Here is a 25,148-nt window from a genome sequence, read left to right on the forward strand (position 1 = left end):
TAATACAGTGGATGGCAGATTAGACATTAAGGCAGATAATACATTATTGAAGAAAAGATTAGTGAACTTGAAGACACAGCAATAAAAATGATTCAAAGTGAAACAGACAAAATACTTGGCCCTACTTGAAGTCCACAATTCTGAAATTGTGTCTGAAAGTTAAATGCTACCACTTATTCTGAGGCTCAGACAAAATTCATTGCATCATTCAAGATCAACTGAACACTGTAAAAAAAGTGTTTATTTTTGTTAATAAAATTATGACTTTATAATATTTAATATAATTATTTCACTTTATAATCTTTCTATTGATGGATATATACACTGTTTATAAGATCTGTCACTGCTATGTATACAGCCAAATATACATCAATAATGAAAACCCATAGGCAGGTTATTATTTTTCAGTTACTATAGTCAGAATTATATTAATGCAATCAAAATTGTTATGAGGGCTAATTTCACTTAAAGGGTTATATTCTTTGTTTTTCTGATCTAGTTTCTGACTATCTTTTGTTTCACCTATGTCTCTCTGTTATCTGTGGTTGAATCTTCTGGATTCTGAAAATCATTCACACTTATGATTTTATTAACATATATACATGGATGACATACATATTTAATTGATTTTCCTTAAATTTGCCCCTTCATTGTAGTAAGAGATAGTATATTATTAAATCATTTAAATTCAATCATGTATAAGATATAAGACATTATGTCTGGATGCTCCATCATCAGTTCAGAGTTTTTTTTTTTTTTTTTTTGAGACATGATCTTGCTCTGTCACCCAGGCTAGAGTACAGTGGCACAATTATGGCTCATTGCAGCCTCAACTTTCAAGGACTCAAGCAATCTTCCCACCTCAGCCTCCTGAGTAGCTGGGACTATAGGTACATGCCCCAGAATTTTTTATTTTTTTGTAGAGACAAGGTCTCACTGTATTGCCCGGGCTGGTCTCGACTCCTGGACTCAAAGGATCCTTCTGCCTCAGCCTCCCAAAGTGCTGGGATTACAGGCATGAGCCACCATGCCTGGCCTCAGATGTTTTTTAATATATTTGGCTTCTCTTTACAATCTTTCCTCTATCATTTTATTGACTTTCTAGCAGATCCATGCTGGTCACTGCAAATATAATGATGAATAAGACATAGCCCTCAGAGTCTATGGTCTAGAGCTAGACAGGTGAAAAATAATTTTACACCAGATCTATGGTCAAATATGGACAAAGCACTAGCAAGCAGAAGCAAGGAGATGACTAAGTGTGCTGGTGAGAGGGATATGGGAACACAGTAAGAAAAACTTCATACTGGAGATGATCTTTTATGTCTTGAAACATGTGCAGAAGTTCATCTAATAGAGAAATTGAAATGTGACATCAGAGGCAGAGGAAATAGCAACTGTAAATGCACCAAAGCATAAAGAAACCAGGTATATTCTGGGAATAAATAAATGTTGGTATTACTAATGTATACCCTAAAGCACTGGGAAGTCATCAAAAATTTCTAAGTTTGGGAATGACATGATTAGATTTGTCTTTTAGAGAAACAACTTTGGAACCAGTGTGGAGAATGGTGGGGAGTTGAGTGGAGACTTCGGGCAAGGACATCAGTCAAGAGTTGACTGCAATAGTTCAGGGAGATATGATGAAGAACTGAATTGGGCAGAGGTGGTGGGTTGGAGGAGGCTGATTACAGAGATATTTAAGAAGAAGAATTGACAGAATTTGGGAATCGGTTATATGTGTCAGTGTGATGAGAAGGTGAGAAAGGAGTGAAGGGTGAGTCCAAGGTTCTAGCTTGGATGTCTATAGTGATAGTGGGGCTTTGCATGGAAAGAAGGTAGGACAAACAAGTCTTGAGGGAAAAGTATGATTGTAAACATGTCTAATTTGAAGTTTCTTTGGGCTATTTATGCAGAGATATCTAGTATATAGTGTATAGAAGTAGGAAACTAGAGCTTCTACTACAGAATAGTAGTCAAAGAAATCAAAGTAGATAAAACACTCAGTCTTTGCAAAGTATATGGAGTAACAAGGGAAATGAGAAAGTCTTGCTTAGTTCATTTTGTTCTACTATAACAGAATACCACAGACTGGGTAATTTATAACAAGCAGAAATTTTTTGCTCATGGTTCTGGAAACTAGGAAGTCTAAGATCAAGCCATGGCCTTCTTGCTGCAACAGCCCATGGTGGAAGGGCAAAGACAGACAAGAGACCGCACAAGAGAGGGACAAAGGGGGCTAACTAATCCTTTTATAAGGAGCTCACTCCCAAGATAACAAACCCACTTTCTCAATAACAGCATTAATCCATTCATGAAGGCGTGGCCTAATCACCTCTCCTTAGGTCTCAACACTGTTGCACTGGGGATTAAGTTTCCAATACTTGCTCTTTGGGGGGGACACATTCAAACTACAGCAAAGCCCTCTGACAGAACACCGCACTGCAACATTTAATAAGGCTGATTGGGGGACAGAATCAATGATGGAGACTGAGGAGTAATCGGGCAAGTAGCAGAGAAACCAGGGGCAATTGGAGTCAAGAAATCCAAGGGAGTAGAATATTTCAAGGAGGAGAAAGTTCAAACACAATAGAAAAGTCACATTAAATGAGAAAATTTTAAATGTCTACTGAAATTGCCAATTGATAGATCATTGAGGCCTTTTACATGAATAATTCCAGGGAGACTGAGATGTTAAAACCAGATTCCATTAAAACAAAAGGTAAAGAACTTGACATTTCTAACATAGATTAATCTTTATGAATTTCAAGCTGGGCATGGTGGCTCAGGAAGCCTAGTCAACTTATTACATTAATATTAATAATGATAACTGTGATCCTCTTAAGTGATTATGGAGTACTCATTATCTGTCAGGCATTGTGCTAAGCGTTTCACATGCATGGTCTTGTTTAATTCTAGATAATTTAGATGACTCCACAAGAGTCTTTCTTGAATCACAAATTGCTAGTCTTCTGCACAAAATATCCAACTTGATTATCTGTACTTTAAGAATAAGAACTGCGTCTTATAATTCCCTTCTTTTGTGCCATCTGGTAAAGTTTTGGGGACATAATAGAAACTCAATATCCTTTAAAACTCTTGATAACATACCAAGTTCTTGCTATACACATAACTTTGTATTGGACAATAGAGAGGATTTTTTTTTACACTACCCAATTCTATACAAATTTGGAACCTTATTGGAGACACAAAGCATGCAGGTGAAAATTTAAATTATAGCTCTAAACATCAATTAAGTGCTACTACATTTATAATAGTAGTACATGAGTGCAGTAAAAAAGAGATTGCTATGAGCTAATGTCATGAAACAAATATTTATGCAGCTGGTAGAAGTTAAATTAGGGCTTGAATATTCTGACAGGCAAAGACAAGGCTTTCCAGGAGGTGGAAATGCCTGAGCAAGGGAATGGTCATGCATCTCACGAGAGCCAAGAGTTCACAGCCAATGATTTATTTAGCAAAATCTTCAACCCTACTGTTCTTTGCCCCCAGTTCAGCCCATTTCCAGAATATATTTTTTCCTTCCTTATATTTCCTTAATTCATCTCTTTGTCTACTTCTCATGGTCACGAGCTCTGTTATCCTATCCTATTTCAACTACGACCACCTCCTCATCACTCAACTCACACTATTAGCACCGCTAAGAATCCACAGTTCTACTTCTGAAGTCGCTTTGGATTTCCTAGCACTCTGCACAACAGGACACATAGACTACCAGATACCATCCCCTGCGTCTGGCATTTCTCGTTCTTCACTCTAACTCACTGCTGTTTTCCCCACACAAATGTGCTCCAAGACCTCCTAAAGCAAACTATACATTGTCCTCTTCCAAGCCTCCCCTGGCTCAAAGTCAATCTTAATGCACAAGGCTCTAAATCATAATTTACAGCTTGGAAACCATTAATCCTGTACAGAAGGAACTGAGTTTACTGCCAATGAGTTGTTCAAATACTAAGATAGATTCTGGTTCTATATGAATTTTTATTTAAGTTCCCTATAAAAATGTTTGTAATAGCACCAGAGGGTGTGTGTGTGTGTGTGTGTGTGTGTACATATACATATACACACAAACACGCTATCTCTCTCTCTCAAAGTGGGGAGGAGTGGGTGTTGAAGAATGACAGCTCCTTGAGGACAGGACACACTTTTGTTCAACTCGACTTGAACTGTATTAGCAAGGGCATGAGAGGACTTAAGAAACAATACAAAATAAGGCAGATAGGTATGTTCTTCAAGCTATCCTTTGATCCTGGATTCTAAAGACTAAAATACAAACTAAGGTTGGAGGGCCCAAATTTTCTTCTCTGAGTCTCAGAGATTAGGTCTATATATTTTAGAAATGTAATAGTACCTTCTTAAAAAATTACTTGGTAATTAACCTGACTGAAAGCTCTGGCTAAAATACTGTGGCTCCAGCTTAGAATACTCTATGGTTGTAGCCAATGCTAGAAAAAACACACTTTCAGTTCTAGGCTCTGTTCTCTCACTAAATTTCACTTTGGCTGTATGCTGATCATTTGATCTCATTTGGAGACGACCAGCAGTCACATATACACCATGAAGTGACAATCACAATGCCAAATCTAAGTTATTTCATTTCAAATAAGCATTGGACTATTATTACTAATTTAATAAGCAGGAAATGCCCATGTGTCTTATGTACTATGCTGGACACAACTTGCATGGAGATAAATATAACATTACTAATAAGTACAAGATCCTCAAAGTTCACACTCTGAGATGTAAATAATGAATGACAGCACAATTTTTAAGAGTAAAGAAATTGACAAGGCAACGGAAGAACACCAAGTAGGAAGTGAAGATAAGAATCTGCCTTGAAGAATTGTAAAATGATGCGCAAGAAAGTGACACTTAAAGTAGATCTTGGCTGGGTAGGATGGCTCACACCTGCAATTCCCAACGCTTTGGGAGGCTGAAGCAGGGGGATAGCCTGAGGTCAGGAGTTCAAGACCAGCCTGGCCAACATCTCTACTAAAAATACAAAAATTAGCTGGGCCTGGTGGCACATGCCTGTAATCCCAGCTACCCGGGAGGCTGAGGCAGGAGAATCACTTGAACCTGGGAGGCGGAGGTTGCAGTGAGCCAAGATCACGCCACTGCACTCCAGCCTGGTCAACAGAGTGAGACTCTGTCTCAAAAAAAAAAAAAACAAGTAAAATAAAAATAAACTAAATCTCAAAGGAGGAAGGAAGGGATGTGTATGAAGCATGTATTATTTGCCAGACACAGGTGACAAATTACCTCATTGTTGCCACCATTTTAGACATGGTGAATCTGAGGCAGGACAACTAAAGTCACCTGCTAGAATGCCACACAGCCAGCTTCAAACACAGCTTTGTATGTTTTGTCCAATGTACAAGCTCCCTTCTAAAGGCAAGGAAGCCTTCTTTAGGTGGAAAAGTGAAATAATCTTTATTGCACTTAAAGTTTCCTAAAAATTACCTCTTACGAAATATTTACTTATAATGATTAACAGTTTATGGTTGTAGCTGTAAGTTTCTATCTGCCCATACAACGCTTTTAAAGCCGGGCACGGTGGCTCACGCCTGTAATCCCAGCACTTTGGGAGGCCAAAGCGGGTGGATCACTTGAGGTCAGGAGTTCAAGACTAGCCTGGGCAACATTATGAAGCTTCGTCTCCACAAAAAATTAGCCAGGCGTGGTGGCATATGCCTGTAATCCCAGCTACTTGGGTGGGTGAGGCCTGGGAATCTCTTGAACCCAGGAGGTGGAGGATGCAGTGAGTCAAGATTGCACAACTGCATTCTAGCCTGGGGGACAGAGTAAAACTCTGTCAAAAAAAAAAAGAAAGAGAGAGAGACAAGAAAGAAAGAAAGAAAGAAAGAAAGAAAAGAAAGAAAGAAAAGAAAGAAAGAAAGAAAGAAAGAAAGAAAGAAAGAAAGAAAGAAAGAAAGAAAGAAAAAGAAAAGAAAAAGAAAAGAAAAAAAAAGCTTTTAAAACCCAGTCCATTAAAAAATGCCCAGGAACCAGGCAAGGTGGGTCAAGCCTGTAATCCCAACACTTTGGGCAGCCGAGACAGGAGGACTGCTTAAAGCCAGGAGTTCAAGATCAGCCAGGGAAATATAGCAAGAACCTGTCAGGAAGGAAGGACAGAAGAAAGGAAAGGAGGGAGGGAGGGAGGGAAAGAAGGGAGGCAGGGAAGAAGGGAGAGAGGGAGGGAGGGCGGGAAGGAGGGAAGGAAGGAAGGAAAAAATTAGCTGGGCATGGTGGTGTGCACCTGTAGTCCCAGCCACTTGGGAGGCTGAGGCAGGAGGGTTGCTTGAGCCCAGGATGCAATGAGCTATGATCACTCCACTGCTCTTCAGGCTGGGCAACAGAGTGAGACCCTGTCTCAAATTTTAAAAAAAGAAAAAAGGGGAAAAAAAGAAAAATGCTTGGGGTTCAAGGTCTATGTAAGAGATATGCAAAACTTCAAAAATGTTGCAAAATGTTGTGTCTATGTGCATTTTCCTGGGGAAAAGAGTCAGGAGCTTTTATGAATCTTAAAGGGGTTTATAAACCTCTACCCCAGAAAAGGCTATGAAGCAAGAATCTACAAACTTCTGCTAAGCTTTTTAATGTTTTCCAAAAGGAAAAATACTTTTGTAAATTTAAGTTTCACATACAAGGAAATCCATTTCATATATAACAGGGAAGAAGATTCATATATTCTACTATAAGGTAACAACTTGATAAGGAGACACCGAAGTGACCCTTTCCCATGTTTCTAATAACTATTCAGGATGTTAACAGTGAAAGGACCATTTAGAAAGCTAATTTCCTTTTCATCATGCTTGTTAAGTGTTTACTTTAATTCACATCCTGTGTGACCCTATGGGAAAATTTTTAACTAATACTGGGGAAAATCCCATAGGGTTACACAGGATGTGAACAGGGCCTGTACTGAACTACCTTCAGCTTGAAAAATAAAATTAGATAGGTGAGTTTCACTTTCTGTTTGTCATAAGTTCCACTTTCTGGCTCCCAAAGCTTAGATCCACAGTACATCCATGTCCGTGCAATAAAATCCCAAGATTCTCACTCTCTGTTAAAGGAAGGATTTCGGCGTGTTGTATAGCAAAATCCTTTCAGCAGAAAAATGCAAATCTGTGGTGCTAATCAAGGAGAGGCGGCTGGAGCACTCCCAAATGCTCCTCCATACCTGGGCTCACACACAGTTCAGCTGCCGTTTTCCATTTCCTGTGGGGAACATACATCATACCACTTCCCCTATAGAAAAAAGAAAGCAGCCCGATTTAATTGCTGATGGAAACATTGTCATACTTTCCACTGGCCAAGCTTGAAACTATTACTGATCTAACCTTCATTAATTTTTCCACAACAATTTGCAGAAATGTCAGGAAGCAGCTGTACGAAGACTGATTAATTGTCCTTATCACCACTACTTTACCAGGCTCGCTCTCTCTTCTCTCTCTCTCTCTCTCTCTCTCTGTATCCTCACCACCTCCCCTCCCTCTCTTCCAGTTTAAAAATATAATTGGGATTTTTCTGTTTTGGTTGGTATTGGTGGTGGTATATCATACTCTGAAATATCCAGATCTATTTTTGATGTCTTTCAATGGCCCAAACATTTTCAGATCTGGAGGAGACCCCATGAAGTTTGGGACAGCATCCACGAAGGAAAAGGTTGCTTCCTGCTGATTACTCAGTTATAGCTGTTTAAACAGACGTTCATGAATTCAAGTCTTACAGCAACACTGCATTTATTAGTCAATCACAGACGCTAAAATTCACTTCCGAAATGTGAATTAGAAAATCAAATGCCCTTTTTCTATTTTTTTTTCACTTTCTTTTCTCCCTCATCATTTTCATTTGAGCTATACCATCTGTCCCAGCCTATCAAATAATGTACTGTGCATGCCTGGCAAAAACAAGTGGAACAGTACACCTCATAACCCCATGTAGGCAACCACTGAGCATCTATAAAAGTGGTACATAACAGAATCTGGCCATCTGGGGATAACTAGTTATAGCAAGCTTAGCTTCTCAGCCAGCACTCAGATTTGCAGACTTTTAACTAGTTGGCAAAGCATCAACCAGTGTTCAAGAAGAGAAACACTAACAAACATTTTTTTTTTCAAAACACAAGAATTCAGATATAAATTTTCAAAGGTGTACTTGCCAATGTTGCTGACAAGAAGGCTTCAAAAGCAAAGATCAAGGCACTGTCATGTCCTTGAAATGGAGCCAGAGTCAATCCAAATCTAGCATTTTGCAGCATTACTAAACTTTTTGGGTATGAACATATTTTTCCTTCCCCATATTGCCTGAATATATACAAGCAAGGGATTAAAGCCGAACAGACTTTGAACCAAATGACATAGTACCTTTCAGAGACAGCTCCAGCAGACTGGGAAGAGTTCCTCCTAGGACTACATTTAAAAAAAAAAAAAATCCAAAGGCTCTTCATCCCAGATACACTCATTCGTAGTCTAACCCCGAACCAAAGAAAGACAGATTGGACAACTATGGCTTAAAGCATTAAAGTAATAACTGGACATGTAGCATAGTGGCCCAGATCATGGACCATGGAGCCAGAATACTTGCTTTCAGTCCCATCTCTGCCACTTGCCAGACATACAAATATTCAGGCAAGTTACCTAACCTCTCCGTGCCTCAGTCTTTTCATCCAGAAAATGGGGATACAAATAATATTGTTAACAGAATTATACAGCATTTAAAAATGGCACGAGGAAGTGAACTCTAAATGCTAGCTGTTAACTGTATATTTTTCTGTTGATATTTCAGGTATCTATTAGCCTAATAGTGAGGAGGAAATAATGTGACACGAGTTCCTAAATTAATTTAACAAAGCCCACTGGGTTGGCTGAAAGATTTCCCCTGATAATACTCACATTGCTTGAAACACCACCACCAAAACTAGGTCAAGCAATCAAGGCTAAATATTCTATTGTTTCTGTTGACTATCCCCTAGCTGTCACAGGACAGCATGCCTTGTGATGCCATGGGACATAGAGGCAGGCATGGCTGGAGATGACCACACCTCACCACCACCTCCAGGCCTGGAAAGCAGGGGTGGGGAGAAAGCCACCACAGACCAGCAAAGTGCAAACAAAGACAGAAGCTGGCTTGGACTTCGTCATAATCAAAGTACTCATCAAAGAAGCCAAAGGCACTCATTCCCTTGGCACTAAGACCAGGGTTGAGGTGCCAGGAGGCCACACAGTGCAGGAAAGACGCTACTTTTAATTCCGGCTCCACCATATGACCTTAAGTAACTCTCACACTCTAAAGCCTTAATCTGCAGTAAAACACAGGATTTCGTCTACATCAGACCTTTTGAGTCTTTTGGCTGCCATGACCTCCTTGGCAGTCTGATGAAGCCTGTGGGCTCATTCTTAGCAGAATGTTTTAAACTACACTGGATTACAAAGGAAACCAATTACCATGAATATAGGTATCTCAAAATAACTTTCAAAGCAAACTTGTTGATAGTAATATACATAATTCTTTATTAATAATTAAAAACAAGATATAGTGCAGGTCTAATATTCACCATAATTCGGAGTAGTCATAATCATAAAGACACTTTGAGATATGAATCACAATGGTAATGTGATATGAAACTGTCTGTGATTTCTATTGGTGACAACATCACTGACACTGCTGAAACTACTGTCATTTGTTGCTTACATGAATAATGAAGGAAGTGCTAAACTTCAGTTAGAGATTAATGAAACAGTTTTTTTCTCAACCAAATTTTCTGAATTCTGTCCATTTGTGGTTAAGAGCCCCAGCCTAGGTAAATAATAAATCCCTTTATAATTCCATTATCTCAGATCAATGATTGCATTGTGTCCCTGGCTCCCTCCACAGAGAAGATTCACAAAGAGAAATAAAGCAATTCCTATTCTTTCCAACTGTGTGGAGAAAAACAGATTTACAGGATAGAAGTGTCTTTCCTCATCCCTCTCCAAGTGAGGGAAGGAACACTTATTGACTTGGAAATGAGTTACCCAAACACTATCAAGCCCTACCAGCCTACAGGCAAATACATAAGAAGTGACATTAACACCAATTAACCACAGCTCCTGTTCCAGCCCCACCTGCTCACACAGGACCTCCAGTCCCCTTAAAAAGTCCCAACTAAGTATATCTAGGATTCCAGCAAGGGAGACTTACAAGAGCCCACAGGCAGTCTGACAGCCAGTCACAACACCATCTGCCATGGCTTCTTTCCTGCACCAGCTCCCCCTAGCGTCCTCAGGAAGGAACCCCTCTGCCGCCTCTGCAGATGGCGCCCTCAGTAAGAATCCTAATGCCCAGTTGCCCCCACAGACAGCAGAGTCCATACTTCCAGGAAAGAGGGGTCCTTGTCATGGGTCCCACACTTTAGAAAGCCTGCATATCACAAACAAGCACAAATAAATTCACTGAAAAATCCACAGCACCTTTATCATAGGCATCCAGATGTCCTGTAACCCTAAACCCCGCGACAACGGTTTAAGCCCCGAGGGAAATGCTTCTCTTGCCCAATCTCTTTGCACCAGTCAAAGAGTGACTGAGTTGGAATGCCCTGAAGGTTCGTGGATTGTGACATTGCAGTGTGGAGTTAGACATCATTTCCAAAGCAGAGAAGATTCAAGCAGCATTAATGCTTAGGTAAAAGAAAAGACTTAAGAGTCATTTCTCTCAGATGGTGTGGACGCAACAGATTCTCGCATAACAAGTGTAACCATGCCAAGCATCCCTTTCCTGGTTTCTCTTCGTGCTCTGATCAGTGGTTCTAGAATCGTTAATAATTAGAGCAGCATTTGGAACAATTGCACATGGCACTTGAAGAGTGTTTCGCAATTAAACAATTCTTATTCTTAAATTTGTAAAGATGTAACCTGTATGAAGCATGATGCCAATTCTTTACATTAGCAACTAAAATGGACACTAAAAACAAACTTGTGAATAGTTTTGCTTCTGTAAAAACAGCTGAGGATTTAATTCAATTTCAAAAAAATATTAAAAAGCTTCAGCAGCATTTAAATAATTTTGAATTTTAAATGTTTTATTCATTCATTTTAATATAGATTTATTTACCTTTCAGTTTTAACATGTGATTTTGGATATTTTGTAAGAAAAATCCTTTTTTTAAATAGCTTAATTTAAAACATTTTTATACTTATTCTAATTTACATATATGATGAAAATATACTAATATTTTGTATATGTTGAATACAATTACATTACATGCTTAAATCCTTTAGGTCCCGAGAATTAGTACATGTTGACACCTTAGTATATATAATTGCTTTTTTGGAGTTCAAAAACTTAAAAAGCAGAGATTTTTAAGAAGCAGTAGAAAATCTGAAAAGAGTCAGTCTGTTTAAATTTTAAAGCTGCAAATAATGAAAGTAAGCAGACTTGTCAAGCATGACCCATATAAAATTCACTAACAGGACATTAGAAATTATTTATTTAATAAAGATTTAATTACTGTTCAAAACAATAAAAATGAGCCAGAAAATTATTCTAGTCAAATCCACAACGTGAACTGGTCAGATGAAATCCCTGCAACTTCATGTTCTGTGCAAATAAAGATTTTATCACTGACCAAATGAAGAATCTTTGTGGGCCTCCATTTGAACTCTTGCCCCAGAGGCCCCATAAATACTGGCAGCAATGACCCTCCCCAGCTGTGTGTTCGTAAGGTCCAAATCAAGCTTGGCTTATAACCAATTCTCCTTCAAGACTGTCACCAAAGCAGTTCCATCAGGTTTTTTGCTTCCACTCTTCTTCAGAATCTCACAAAGTTTATGCCTAATACCTCGTAGCCGTGTAACACAATGGCTCAGATCCAGTCCCAGAGGCTAGGGAGGCAACAGTTACACCCTTAATTGACCAACTTGGAAATCTTCTGCCCCATCTCAGCCAGCTACAAAACCATAGCTGAATACCAGTGAGTGATAACACATCTTAGGGGTGAGGGAGGGGTGGTTCTGCAATTTGAAACCAATAAAGTCCATACATTTATAGTTCACACCTCTGGAGCTGGTAGAAGGCATTTCCCTACCCGACACTAAAATTCAGGTCAAGTAGGAGGAAGAATGGCCACAGAGGCCAGAGAGAATGAAGGAAGATTCAGAAAGTGCCTTTTCACATTTTTGCTCATGATCCATTTCTTAAACTTATTGGACAAATCTTGTAGCAAGTTTTTTTCTTCCTAACAATTTACATGAGCACAATGAACATTTTCCATGGAGCCTGCCCTTCACACTTAGAAGCTTAGAGGAAGGATATTTCCTAGACATCTGGATTAAGGGACTGACTCCCACAGTAATCCATATCAGTATTTGTTTAAAGATCTCTATGGGGTCTTGATTTTCATGTTTTAAATAGAGAAATAATTTTAGAGGTTTTGCAGACACATACTAAAGTCCAATTACACACACACACACACACACACACACATCACATACCCCCAAAAGCACGAGGCTGAGTGGTGAAACAGTGAAGGGTTGAGTTGCTTGCCCAAGCTCTGCAAGCTATTCTATGAAATTCAGAGCAAGAACCTCAGTTTCCTGATGTTTCAACCAATGACCTTTCCAGTTAATCACTGAGCCCTCCCACCACAGCTAACCACTCACATTGTTGCCATGATATTGATATTATTCAATTTAGAAATCTCTTATTAAGGTTTTGATAATATTAGAAAATAAAACTTAGAAATCATTAAGCTATCAAGAATCATTCTTATATTTTATACATTATTATAAAAATGTGTAAGGTCAAACATATCTGATTTTAATAGACATTACAGAAATTGTACAGAACATTTCCAAACTTAATTCTCTAAGGCATCTCAGAGAGTGTGACTAAAAATGCTATCGTGAGTTAAAAAGATTTAAAAATGTGTTCTCCAGAAAATGTTAACTAATTGCATCTGTTCTAAAGAATAATTAAAGTGCCAATAATGAATTTAATTAATTAATTTAAGGTGCCAACCTTAAAATAAAATTGTTTTAATTTTTTCAGCAGACTTTCAACATGCTTCAAACATATGCACATAAAAAGGGCATATGTAAAATAAAAATAATAAATGATTATAATTTAATAAATTTAAAATAAAGCAATAAATATCTTCAAATAAATGAATTAATTATCTTCATCCACTAGTTTGCTTCTATATTCTAAGTAAAATCCTAAGTGAACAGATCTTCCACGCTAAACAGACCAATCATGTTTCTTCAGAAAACACAAATATCATATATCTGATTTAGAAATTTATTTTCAATATCTGAAAAGTATCTAAGCTCGTTAAAATAAAATATATCTTATTACATAATTCTTGGTTTAGGAGAAATTTCCGCTATGTGTATGTTTAAATAGCTTAAGAATAAAAACTTACATCAAGACTCTTAAACCAAGCTTGTCCTTTAATAAAGGATAAATTATTACCTGGGAAGGGACATATCACTACACTCAGGTTTACTGTGACCTAAGAGATTGGCTTAGGTCTCCCCAGTCTCAATGGTCCCTCACAATTCCGACCATGATCACTGGTTGAAATATCTTGCTAGTGCTTCCAAAGGTGGAAGATGTCCCCATATTTTGGGGAATTCCCTGAGGATATTTACATGTACAGATGAACAAACATACTAACCCTATCTATCCCAGGTCTTCCCATAGAAAAGGAGAAAATCAGTCTAATAAAACATTTTACCACTTCAATTCTCAAGGAAAAGGAATCCCAATGTTGTAATAGGTAAAGCCTGATAAGAATGCATGGCAATTTTTTCAGAAGCTCTGAGAATTTCTACTACCATGAACCTGACAGCTAGATTGTTGTATTCTAGCAGGCTGAGCACATTTTAGGGTTCTAAATGGCAGGGAATAGCTTTGTGGGGTAGAAACATTAGTATATAATACTCACCTCATAAATGTAATTTCAAACAAGCTGTCTACTCATAAAACAGGAGAGCTGACTTATATTGGCTAGTTTCCTATAAGAAGGATGTATTTTATCTAAAATTTTGCCTGTTTTCTCTGCTCAGCTATATCTGTCAGCTGCCGGCCTGGGATAAAACAGGAATTCAGCAAACGTTTGTGGATTGAGTGATCAAGTGAATGGATGAATGAGTGAATGAATGATTGTAAACACGCTCACTCTCCATACTCATGTACTTTTGTGCCTTTGTGGGGTTTAGGAGCAATTGCTTCTTCTTCCATTCTACTACTCCTGTTAATTTCTCTCTTGTTATTCCTGTTAAATTATAGGATGGTTTGATACAATTTAAAATACCCCTTTGTAATAATATGGGTACCTCTGTGAAAGTTCTTTTATCAAGCCCGGTTGGCTATATAATTGCTTGAAAAAACAAAAACCAACTAAACATAACCATGATATAAATTTCACCCCTTTACATTTTATAATAATAGGCTGTTCATCTTAACAAAGCAATTTCTGAATTTTTCTTTAACAAGCTCTATTATTATTCCTAAAGTTTCAATTATTAATAGTATCCCTATCACCTCCTGCTAGCATATTGCACCCCTGCCCTGTGTTTCCTCAGGCTGGGTGTGACAAAGTACGCCTGCATATGACTGTGTGTTTTGTCTATGTACTGGCACATAAATATCCTTGAGGACAGGAAAAGAACTGGTGTATGTGTCTGTGTGCGCGCACGCACGTGCACGCACTTCCCTGGATTGTTCTCCATGGAAATCTCCCTCCAGATGGGAAAAGAGCCAAGGAGAGCCCGAGGACTTCCCTGACCCTAAGCCAAGGGTGTGGCAAGTGTGCTCACCATTATCAGCTGGTGCCCAAAGGGAAGGAGTGGGAAGGAGGAAGGAGGTAGCAGGGAGGAGGAGGAAAGCTGGTAGTAAGTGTGGAGATCTTTTAATTGCAAGAAAATAATCTGGGAGCCTAACATTTTTGCAGTATTTTAAAGTGTGCAAAGACTTCACAGGACTAGCACATTCTCAAATGACACCTCTAAGACCAACCCAAGCATAAAGATCTTCTGAGGCTTATATAAACTTTGCCCATTAAGGAGAAGTCACAGAAACAGTGCAGGCTTTTCCTCACTGGTGTACTTATGTACTCAAGATAAGTAATAACCTTTAGAATGTTTTCATCCTGTGTTTGCTGTGTTTTCAGCTATATTTCTATACTGAAACCTCTTCAAATTCACACAGCATTCTTAAATTGCCAAATCCATTGGTCCTTTCTTAGATCACAACATTGGTGATGACTTTGCGGCATGATACGCTGAACACTCCCTTAAATATAAAGCTCTAAGCTCAAGATCTGACATACCCTAGGCACTCAATAAGTAAGAGCTACTCTTGTCAGCGAGCTCCTCCTCCCTTAGCTTCCTTGAGACTTGCCTCTGTTAGTTTTCCAGCTACATTTCTGACAGTTAAAGTACTTTGGAATCTTTTATCTGATCTTCAAAGCCCAGACAAAGTGTTTTCCCCCAATAAACTTCCCCACTTTTGCAGTGTCAGAATTAATGCCACTCTCTCGTGTTCTCATAATCTTTGCTCAACTCTCATTATCTCACTAATCATGGCCTGCTTTGGATTTTAGTTGAGCTAATTTTTTTTTTTCAAGACAGAGTCTTGCTCTCGCTTAGGCTGGAGTGCAGTAGAGCGATCTCAGCTCACTACAACCTCCACCTTCTGGGTTCAAGCCATTCTCCTGCCTCAGCCTCCCCAGTAGCTGGGATTTCAGCCATATGCCACCATGCTTGGCTAATTTTTGTATTTAGAGATGGGGTTTCACCATGTTGGTCAGGCTGGTCTCGAACTCCTGACCTCGTGATCCACCCGCCTCGGCCTCCCAAAGTGCTGGGATGACAGGTGTGAGCCACTGCACCTGGCCTGAGAACATATTTTATATCCCCAACTAAATTTTCAGCTACTTGAGAACAGGACCATTCTTATTTCTCTCAATACTGAGCACAATGTCTTGCACATGGCTGGCTTTCCATAAATGTTGGTTGATTTAAAAGTTGACAACAGATATTAAATTGAATCTTTAACTGCTTCCTGTTTCCCACCTTTCATAGCCAATCCCAAGCCAAAGCCTATAGAATATTCATCTACAGTATCTCTCCCAAACCCTCTTTATATTCCTATTATGGTCATCCTAGTTCAGAACTTTACTACCTCTTATGGAGACTATCCCAATAGCTTCCTAATTTGCCTCCCTCCAGGTTTTCCAGTTCTTCTTGGTGATGCCATCTGTGGTGAGCAGATTAATCTTTCAAACTATAACCCAATCATGTGATTCCTTAGCTCAAAAGTGGGTAAAGTTTTTCTAATGCCTACCAAACTGATGTGCTAATTACATTCCAGACGTTCTATACTCTCTAGGTCTCTCGGTTCCTCCCTTCCTCTTCTTTCATGTCTCCTCTTCGCTTACCAATGTTATGTTCCAAACATACCATATGACTTTTCCTTCCATAATCACCCCAACTTTATCCATCCCAACACTTTACGTAGGTGAATATCATTCTCGCCACCTATCAAAACCTTGCACATCCTTAAAGCTGTCCTCAGGAAATACTTCCTGCTCCCCAAGCCCTCTACCCAAGCAAACCCATAAGAAAATTGATACGATTTCTTTCTCTTCACAAAACATTTTATTTATACATCTCTGAGGACCCTAGTACAAGTTTTCTTATATCCAAGTCAGGTATGTACTAGTCCGATTTCTATTTTAGGTAGGGTTTATAAGCAACTTGAAGGCTGAAATGCAGACTTACTCATCATTGTATTCCTCCACAGCACCAAAACACTACATTGCATATGGCAGAAATGCCATAAATATTCATTGAGTTTAAATGAACTAAAGCTTTTAAAAATAGCCAAAAAAGCTCAGGTTCCATGTAAGAAGAATGGGGCTCAAGCCAACTGAGTGTTGGCATCTGTGATGATTGGTGTCCTCAAAATTTCCACTTAAGGATGATGACAGAATCAAGCTCTGCTACAGCCAATGAATAATTTATTTGTGCACAAAACATTCTGTTAATGGAAATCTTTTTATGGCTCAAGATCTAAAATGTATTTACTGCCCTATAGTTATTAAATGTTTGCTTTAATCATTAGGTACACAAGGTAATGACAAATGATAATTACAGTATCATTATATACTCTTAAACTGATTTAATCAAGAGTATCTCTTCTGAAATTCAAAAACTCCTCAGTGGATGGGGATGGGAAAGATTACACTGGAACCAATCAACTCACTGCTACCATCAAATTTAAGAAACTAAGGTTTTCTGTTGTTAGAAATACCACCAATTGAAAAAGTAACTTTAGATACAAATGCCTAGTACTTTTTTTTTAAAGCTCAATTAAAAATCCCCCTGCCTCCCCGAACTAGACTGCCTCAATCAATGAAACACATCAGAGAAAAAGAGAAGTGCATGTGTTTGCGCGTTCCCTAGATGTTCCAGCCTGCCAAAAAATGTTTCTTTGCTGTGCTATTTCAGCAAGTCGTGAGATGGCAATGATCACCCTCCTCAAAAGAAAAAGATAGCTATTTTTCCTGTATGTTTTTATTTTAAGAGGCTGGGAGGCACACTTCTGGCTGCTGAGAGTACTCTGACACATACACATGTTCCTGAGGAGGTGAATTTGTGGGGGAATTTTGGCAGGGTGAAGGTTAAGAAAACCTAAAATCATCCTAAACTCTTGGGAAATATTTAAGGAGCTGAAAAAAAACAGCAAAAAGAGGAAGATGATGAAGTCTTCCAGTGAATTCCTGTTTCCAACTATAAACCCTCATGAAAAACGAAAAGTAAAGTACTATAAAATACATGCTTTTTATCTATATTTATATCAGACTCAACTGGTACACAATCAAATTCATCACACTACTAGACAAACCAGCTTCTCTCTTTACCTCATGTTTTCTATTAAAAGTGATATTCAAACTCCAAAGCTCAAAGCCTGGGGTCATCACTGACCGCTTCCTCCTGCTACCCACCCCCAGAATGCATGCACATCCACACAAGCTCACCCTAGACCCAATCAGGCAGCCCCTATGCTGGTGTCCTGCATACTTTCCTTCATACAGCCAGTGCCTGTCAATCCTTATCACTACCCTCCAACCAGACTCTCACACCGGTCTGATCTCCCACCACACAAAGTAGGCAGGAGACCAGCAAGTACTCTGGGTACAAATGGCAAAGTGCCAAAGGCCAGATCCAGGCCTGATGCCCTTGCGTGCCTGGGATCCAGGGACAATTCTCAGAGGCAGTGAACCGTGGAAGGGTCGAGGGTCCTAAGAAAAACAATTTGAGTGGAACGCAGCCACAAGGGCACCATGATGCAAAACCTGAGAAGTAAGGAGCTGAGGGGGATATGGGAGGAAATCAGAAAGAACTTCCTCAGCCTGGGATTCGAGTCTCCACTGAGGTCTGCGATGCAGTGCCTTCATCTGTGATGTAAGCGTGGGAGGACATACAGGGCACAACATGAGATGACAGCTCTTGTTTGAATTCATGGAAGTGCCTCCTAAGTGGCTTCTATGCTTGCAGTGACTGCTGCCCCCCACCCCACCTCACCCGCCATCCAACAGGGCCCAGCCCGACCCATCTCCCTGAAGCGCAGCTCTGAGTGCAGTGCTCTCCTGCTCAAAGGTTTTCATGGGCTTCCCACGCCCCTTTGTCCTGCAGTCAATGTCAGCTGTGCTTTGCCTTCACACTACACAGGAATCCCTCATAGTCAGAGGCCACATGTAATTTATCTCATTAAATTTTTTCAGAGGTCAATTATTTTTGTTGCCATAGTCAAAACAAGGAGAATGAGACCTCCTGGTCAGGGACTGTAGGGGTTTTTAGGTTTGTTCTGCTGTGTGGGGAAGGGGTTTGTTACTCTTTTACTTTAAGAGCAATTTTTGCACTACAAAATTCATAAATTTGTATTCATGACCTGGCTCTGGATATTTAATAGGTATCAGACTTGCAGATTCATCTCACAAATATAATTAAAATTAAACCTGTGTCCAGGTATCGATTTTCAGTCCCCAAAGTGAATTTTAAAACAGAAACTTGGCCAGGTGCAGTGGCTCACACCTATAATCACAGCATTTTGGGAGGCCAAGGTGGGTGGATCACCTGAGGTCAGGAGTTCAAGACCAGACTGGCCAACATAGTGAAACTCCATCTCTACTAAAAATGCAAAAAATCAGCTGGGCATGGTGGTGGGTGCCTGTATACCAGCTACTAGGGAGGCTGAGGCAGGAGAATCGCTTGAACCCAGGAGGCACAGGTTGCAGTGAGCCGAGATTGTGCCACTGCACTCCATCCTGGGCAACAAGAGTGAAATTCTGTCTCAAAAAAAAAAAAAACAGAAAACAAAAAACAAAAACAAACAAAAAAAACCTCACAAGCAATTATTTTTATTAAACCCAACAAATATTTATTAAATGTCTACTATTTTTTCAATCACCATTTTTAAGAATAAAGAAGACACAAGCAATTTACAGTGCAGGCATATGACAGGAAAACTTCACATAAATTACTTTATTATAAAGTGCAAGTACAAAAATGCATACAAAAAGTGGCATGAGAGAAGTATAAATTGTTAAGGGGTGATGCGGGCAAAGGAGCTCAAACATGAAGAGAAGTAATACTACAATAAAATTATTAACCAGACTCCGACGTCAGTAAAGTGCATTAACCCAAAATGCAAATAATAGATGAGGTAGAAAATGCGATTAAGAAAGCGAATTTTTCTCTTGGCAATTCATGGGTGAGACATCAATGTGATATCAGATTCAAACATAAAATAAAGATCTCTATGTGGGGGATTTTGTCCAATATCCAATTAAAGGATTTATAGTGAAAACTGTAACTGCCAAGGGAACCGGAACTCCAGAGGCCATTCTTGATCCACAAGGGATATTGCTTGGAAATCATGAGATTCTCAGATCAGGGAAGTGATTGGGTAAACTTAACAATTGGTATCATCAGGTTTCAGTTTCCAGAAGGTGATAACTGACAGAGGTCTGGAAAATTTACAGTCCACATCTTTCTACAGCATTTTATTCCTTGGACTACCTCAAGATTCCCTAAAAGTATAAGATTTGACTCTGCCCCCAGATTTTGATACGGCTGGCTTCTATTTCTTTATGTCAGTCATAATAAAAAGAACATAGTGGCCACATCCACAACGCTCCAACATTTGAACACTGCCAGTTAACTAGACTGGTGACTTGGTAGTGACTGACATGTTAGCCAAAAATGGGAGAAACAGAGTTGGATTCTGGTTCTATGACTCACTAGTGCTGTGACTTTAAGCAAATTACTCAACTAAAACCAACCCCCCCACCATGAAGCCTCCGGTCCCTTATACACAAAATAAAGTGTGAGTAATAACTACATAATAGCTATTGCCTCAAATGAGATAATGTACATGGAAGCCATTTGCAGACAGAGAGTAAGTCATTACACAAATATTAATTCATGCCATCATAGAAACAAGGCATATGATCAGTCACTAAGATTCACTGTGTAGGTTTTGCATGGAGAGTGAAAAATGAGAGGCTCCTTCACACAGCCATCCTATACTGCAAACTGAAGGAGACAGGAAGGATAGACAGAAGGAAATACTATGAAATGATATGAAAGAAGCCTTCAGTCAGGGTTTCAGATGGCTGCAGCATGCTTGTGGAACAAAATGGGATTTGCTCATACTACTGGTTTAGTTAATACTTACTGATGGAATGATGAATATGTGAATGAAAACTTATTAAATGCATGAACGAATGAAGGTATAACCAGGTAAAATACTTGAAAAACAAAGCAGGAAGAGTCAAATTGTGAATAAGAAAAAATAAGAAAATAATTTTGGAAAAATGAAGCCATGTAGCTCAAATAAGCTAACAGTACTGGGCTCCACTCACCTAAGCTAGAATAGCAAAACAAAGGGCAGTCTTTGTAAGGAGGCCAGAAGAAATGTAGAGCATACATAAGAGTCCACATTTTCACATCAGTTTGTAAATATTAATACTCAAACATAAATACTGATAGCCTCTTCTGTTATCTCAAAATACAAGGAACCAAACAGAAGACTTGTATGCATCTGAAGAGCTATAAAAATATAAAAGGAAGTCCTGTATAATAGGAAACATTTTGAAGGCCACAATATACTGAAACTTAAAGGTCTACTCTGAATGATCTGTGATAGCAGAAGTTATAGTACACCCGGAGATAACAGATAGCAAATCTAATTTGCAACCTTATCAAATCGTTATAAGACCAGCTAAAAGGTATCCAAATAGAATGAATTAAAAGGGTTTTCTTCCTTTTCATTTTCCTAATTGGTATAAGTAATAATAAGAAAAAACATATAAAGGCATATCAAAGAGAAAGGAGAGATAAACAGATGAAGAAAAGGTTTGGGGAAATCACAAAATATAGCAATTTCCACAGAACACAGAATTATGTATTTTGGACTTCCTAATTTAAAGTAAGACTTCAGTGATGTCTGACTCCAGAAATTACTAACAGTAATAATTGTATAATTATCAGCAAATTAATTACTGCTCTTTAACCCAATATTTTCAAGTTTATGAGAGTCTTAATAATTTTCACCTTCTTTTTTTAGGAAGGAATATCACTTACATAATTCCTAAATAAATATATCCAATGTAGTGACAGCATATAAATCTGATCACCCATGTGTTTAAAAGCCCAGACTCCAGCTAATATCACTTTAAAATGAATAATGTCAAGACCAGTCAAAAACATTCACTGCTTGAAGGAAAATGCCAGGACATGCAAAGCAATATTATTATAAAAAATAATAATAATTTGTATGTACTAACTTTTCAAAAAGTACCATAAAAGGAAGAATATTGTGTGGATGAGAATGTTCCTTTCTTACTTTGCAAACTGTTTTCTATTTACTACCAATTTGTGGTGGGAGGAGTTGGGCACATTTTTAAAATTTATTATTTGTAAAAAAAGTTACATTGAAAAAAAAACCCTCATTTGGGCTAATGCACAGGGCCAGGTTCACTGATAAAGTCACTAAGAGGTTGCTGATTATGTATTCCATATGCATCACGAAAATGCTTACCGATTCCATATGAAGTCCTTCCTTACCAAAAGAAGTATTTGATTTAATTGAGAAAATATACCTAGCTCTTTGAGTAAAGACCATGTTGACAGGCTAAAGAATCAGTCACGTGATAGATGAAATATAATTCTGGTTACATTTAACCAGTGACTGCAATGACTATTACCCCTATTAATCACCATCATCATAACCACTACTGTGAACTCCTAGTACCTGCCAGGTATTTAATCCTCATAGAGCCTTATGAACTAAGCAGCATCCTTATTTAATGCAAAACAATTGTTACAAAGCACAGTGACCCCAATGAGCTGACTCAACCAGAGGAGTCCAGAACTCACAGTGCAATACACAAGGAGGCCATCTGCACTCAATGTCCAGGCCATGTCCATTCTCAGGAGGCACTGATAAAACAGTCGCTTGAACATAATTTAAATTAGGTACCACCAATTTAAATGTCACTTAACACTTAGGATACTTTGGAAATAACTGTAAAAGCCAAACTTGGGAGTAGATGGAAAATTAAATGTTGCAAATAAAGACATTTAAGTTAGTGGTTCAGATTATTAATTTCATCTTCTAACATTTATTATAGCTATTGAAAAAATTAAGGCTTTGCTTTTCACACTTTTAAATATATGTCTTCCTAATGGGTTTTTCATCTAACTGCCTCATATCCCTTTAATTATCCAAAACTTTTTCCAAACAGCACCATGTGCCCATAACAATGAAAATTATTGGTGGCAAATGAAGACTGAACCATGAACCTTACGGGCCAAATGAAAAGGGGTCTCTGGAATGTCCACACTTGATATTTCTACACTCACTGGATGCTCAAAAGCTACACTAGCATATCAAGTTCTTAGGCAGTGGAGATTATTTTAGACAAAGGGAGATTATTTTAGACAAAGCTTAGGGCAGTTGTTGGCACTACATAAACTACAACGCTATCGCTAAAAAACCACCTGACATCATCTTGTCTTAAGATGTTCACAGGTAAAGCAGACACTATTAGTGGGTTTAGTTTAGAAGCTGTCTTCCCAGATGATTAGACACTTTCCTCTCTTGTTCGTTATCAGTCATCAGGTTTTAAAATAGCTCCAGTTTATTTGGAGGAAAATTAAGTAACAAGCTGTACAATTTTAGAATCATGAATAACATTTAGAATTTCAGAAATTCAAATCTTGTGACCTAAATTAGGAATACAATTTTTTTTTCCAATTTTTCTTTACTGTGTAAAGGGTTAATTAAAGTATGAGTTTGCTTGGATTTTTTAAAAAAATTACCAAGCCCTAAAATCAGTATCATATAAATTTCTGATGCCAAAAATCTGTTTGACAGAGCAGGCTTTACTATACTGACATTTTAACAGTAGCCAAAGTCCTGTTCCCACTAAATTCTGTCTTGGCAGCACCAATAATTTGCTAAAAGCCTAAACTCCTCCTGGTAACTAATGTGTTCTCAACCTCAGGAGCTTTCCACAGCAGCACAGTGCAACAAGGAAGCTGAATCCATCAAGTCCTTCCTTAAGATTTCTATTCTTATTACAGAAATCATGATTTCTATAAAATGAGAATGGTTTAAAATACAGAAAGATGCTAATTTACTTCAAATGTTCATTACATCTTAGATGTGAATCTGACAAAATGCAATAAAACTACATATAAAAACCTTATTCAAAGTAAAATCTGATATTTTTACATTACTTCAAGATTATAATAAGCAAATCATCATTAATACATCAAATAAAATAATCTGGTTTCGAACTATAAATGACAACATTTTCTAATCTTCAGCTAAAATCAGACATTTCCAGAAATGCAATAAAGTATGAATATTTTCATTTAGATAATATCCAAAACATCTATCACAGGTTTCAAGAGCCTCAAATAATTACTGTCAAAATTTCACATAAAGCTCATTTAATATTGTGCTTGAGGAATCTTTCCAATAACTTTGAAATCAAACCATATAGAAAGCACTTGGCTTGACTTACCTAGTGGCTGTATGTTAAAGCATCGGTAAAAGAGCATTCCAACCAAATCAATTCACTTAATTTTTCAAGTAGATCTGATTACTATGGTCTTTTAAAAAATTCAAAGGCTCCACCTAATGAGAAAAAAACAAAGAACTACATTTAAACCGGAGCGTGATTATAGGAGCTATACATTAATAACACAAAAATCAAATCCAGAGTATTATGATATTATACTATCTTTTCCTACGTTACTGTGCTACTTAAAGCTATCAAACAACAAAAGCGTCTAGGAATTAAGTTAAATTTTCCAGTTTGGGGTAAAATGAATGTTCAAGCATAGAGAAAACAATAAAAGAATACAACAAAGTGTGAGAACAGAAGAGTTTGTTATTGGCAGGTGGAAATAATGGTTATACAATGTCAGTTAAGACATTAAAATTAGAGATGGGGGAAAATGCAATTTATTGCTTTGGAATTATACTCATTGATTCTTCTAATTTACTTATGCAATGAAAATTTGTAGGTGACAGTTCCTGAAAGCCATTAAGCCCTAGCTACATGCAATCTCTGTTGAGAAATAGAAACTAATATCTAGACAGATCATTTAAACATAAAAATGGTCAAGAAGTCTTGGAGATAATTCACTGGCATGGATTTCCAAATCATTCTGAGAATGTTACACCTTGTCTCCACAGAAAGTGTTTACTCTCCTAAGGACTCACAAATAGCTTAATTATTATTTATAAATAATATTGGTTTATTCCATTCACTTTGCCAGTAGAACCACTTTTCCTGAATTTCAAACATTAAATTACTATCTCAGCTCTAAGAGAAAGTTTGAGAGAAAGCAAGCATTAACTTAACTAGAGAGAGAGCCTAAAATGAATGCTAGAGGGTTGAGCAGAAGAGTGAAATAGAAAATTGGACAGTTTCTAGCTACTCCCAAATTAGGTCTTCCCAAGGTAGACTTAGTATGTTCAAACATACTAATATTTCAAAAAGTCTCTGAACATCAAACACAATCATATTCAAGTGAAAGTTCAAAAACTTATTCCAAAGC

At 38.0% G+C, this 25,148-nt stretch overlaps 1 protein-coding gene across 14 annotated transcripts in view, besides 1 other annotated feature; it reads right to left on the minus strand.

The window, feature by feature from the left end:
• HIVEP2 (HIVEP zinc finger 2) overlaps positions 1-25,148 on the minus strand; it is a 194,265-nt gene that overhangs the window by 61,360 nt on the left and 107,757 nt on the right. For 12 of the 14 annotated variants that reach the window (NM_001438449.1, NM_001438450.1, NM_006734.4 and 9 more), the window contains one exon: positions 24,107-24,219. The gene's annotated coding sequence lies outside the window, so the exon portion shown is untranslated. Of the gene's footprint in view, positions 1-7,204; positions 7,273-24,106; positions 24,220-25,148 lie in introns of all 14 variants that reach the window. The other 2 variants (NM_001438451.1, XM_047418715.1) reach the window with 1 other exon arrangement.
• Positions 6,878-7,347: an enhancer, noted in NCBI's record as "active region_25180". NCBI's record gives its function as "activates an Ori minimal core promoter by ATAC-STARR-seq in GM12878 lymphoblastoid cells {active_cell/tissue: GM12878}" and the evidence as "EXISTENCE:reporter gene assay evidence [ECO:0000049][PMID:35858748]".

The sequence above is a fragment of the Homo sapiens genome, chromosome 6, assembly GCF_000001405.40.
Source record: "Homo sapiens chromosome 6, GRCh38.p14 Primary Assembly".
Classification (NCBI taxonomy): domain Eukaryota; kingdom Metazoa; phylum Chordata; class Mammalia; order Primates; family Hominidae; genus Homo; species Homo sapiens.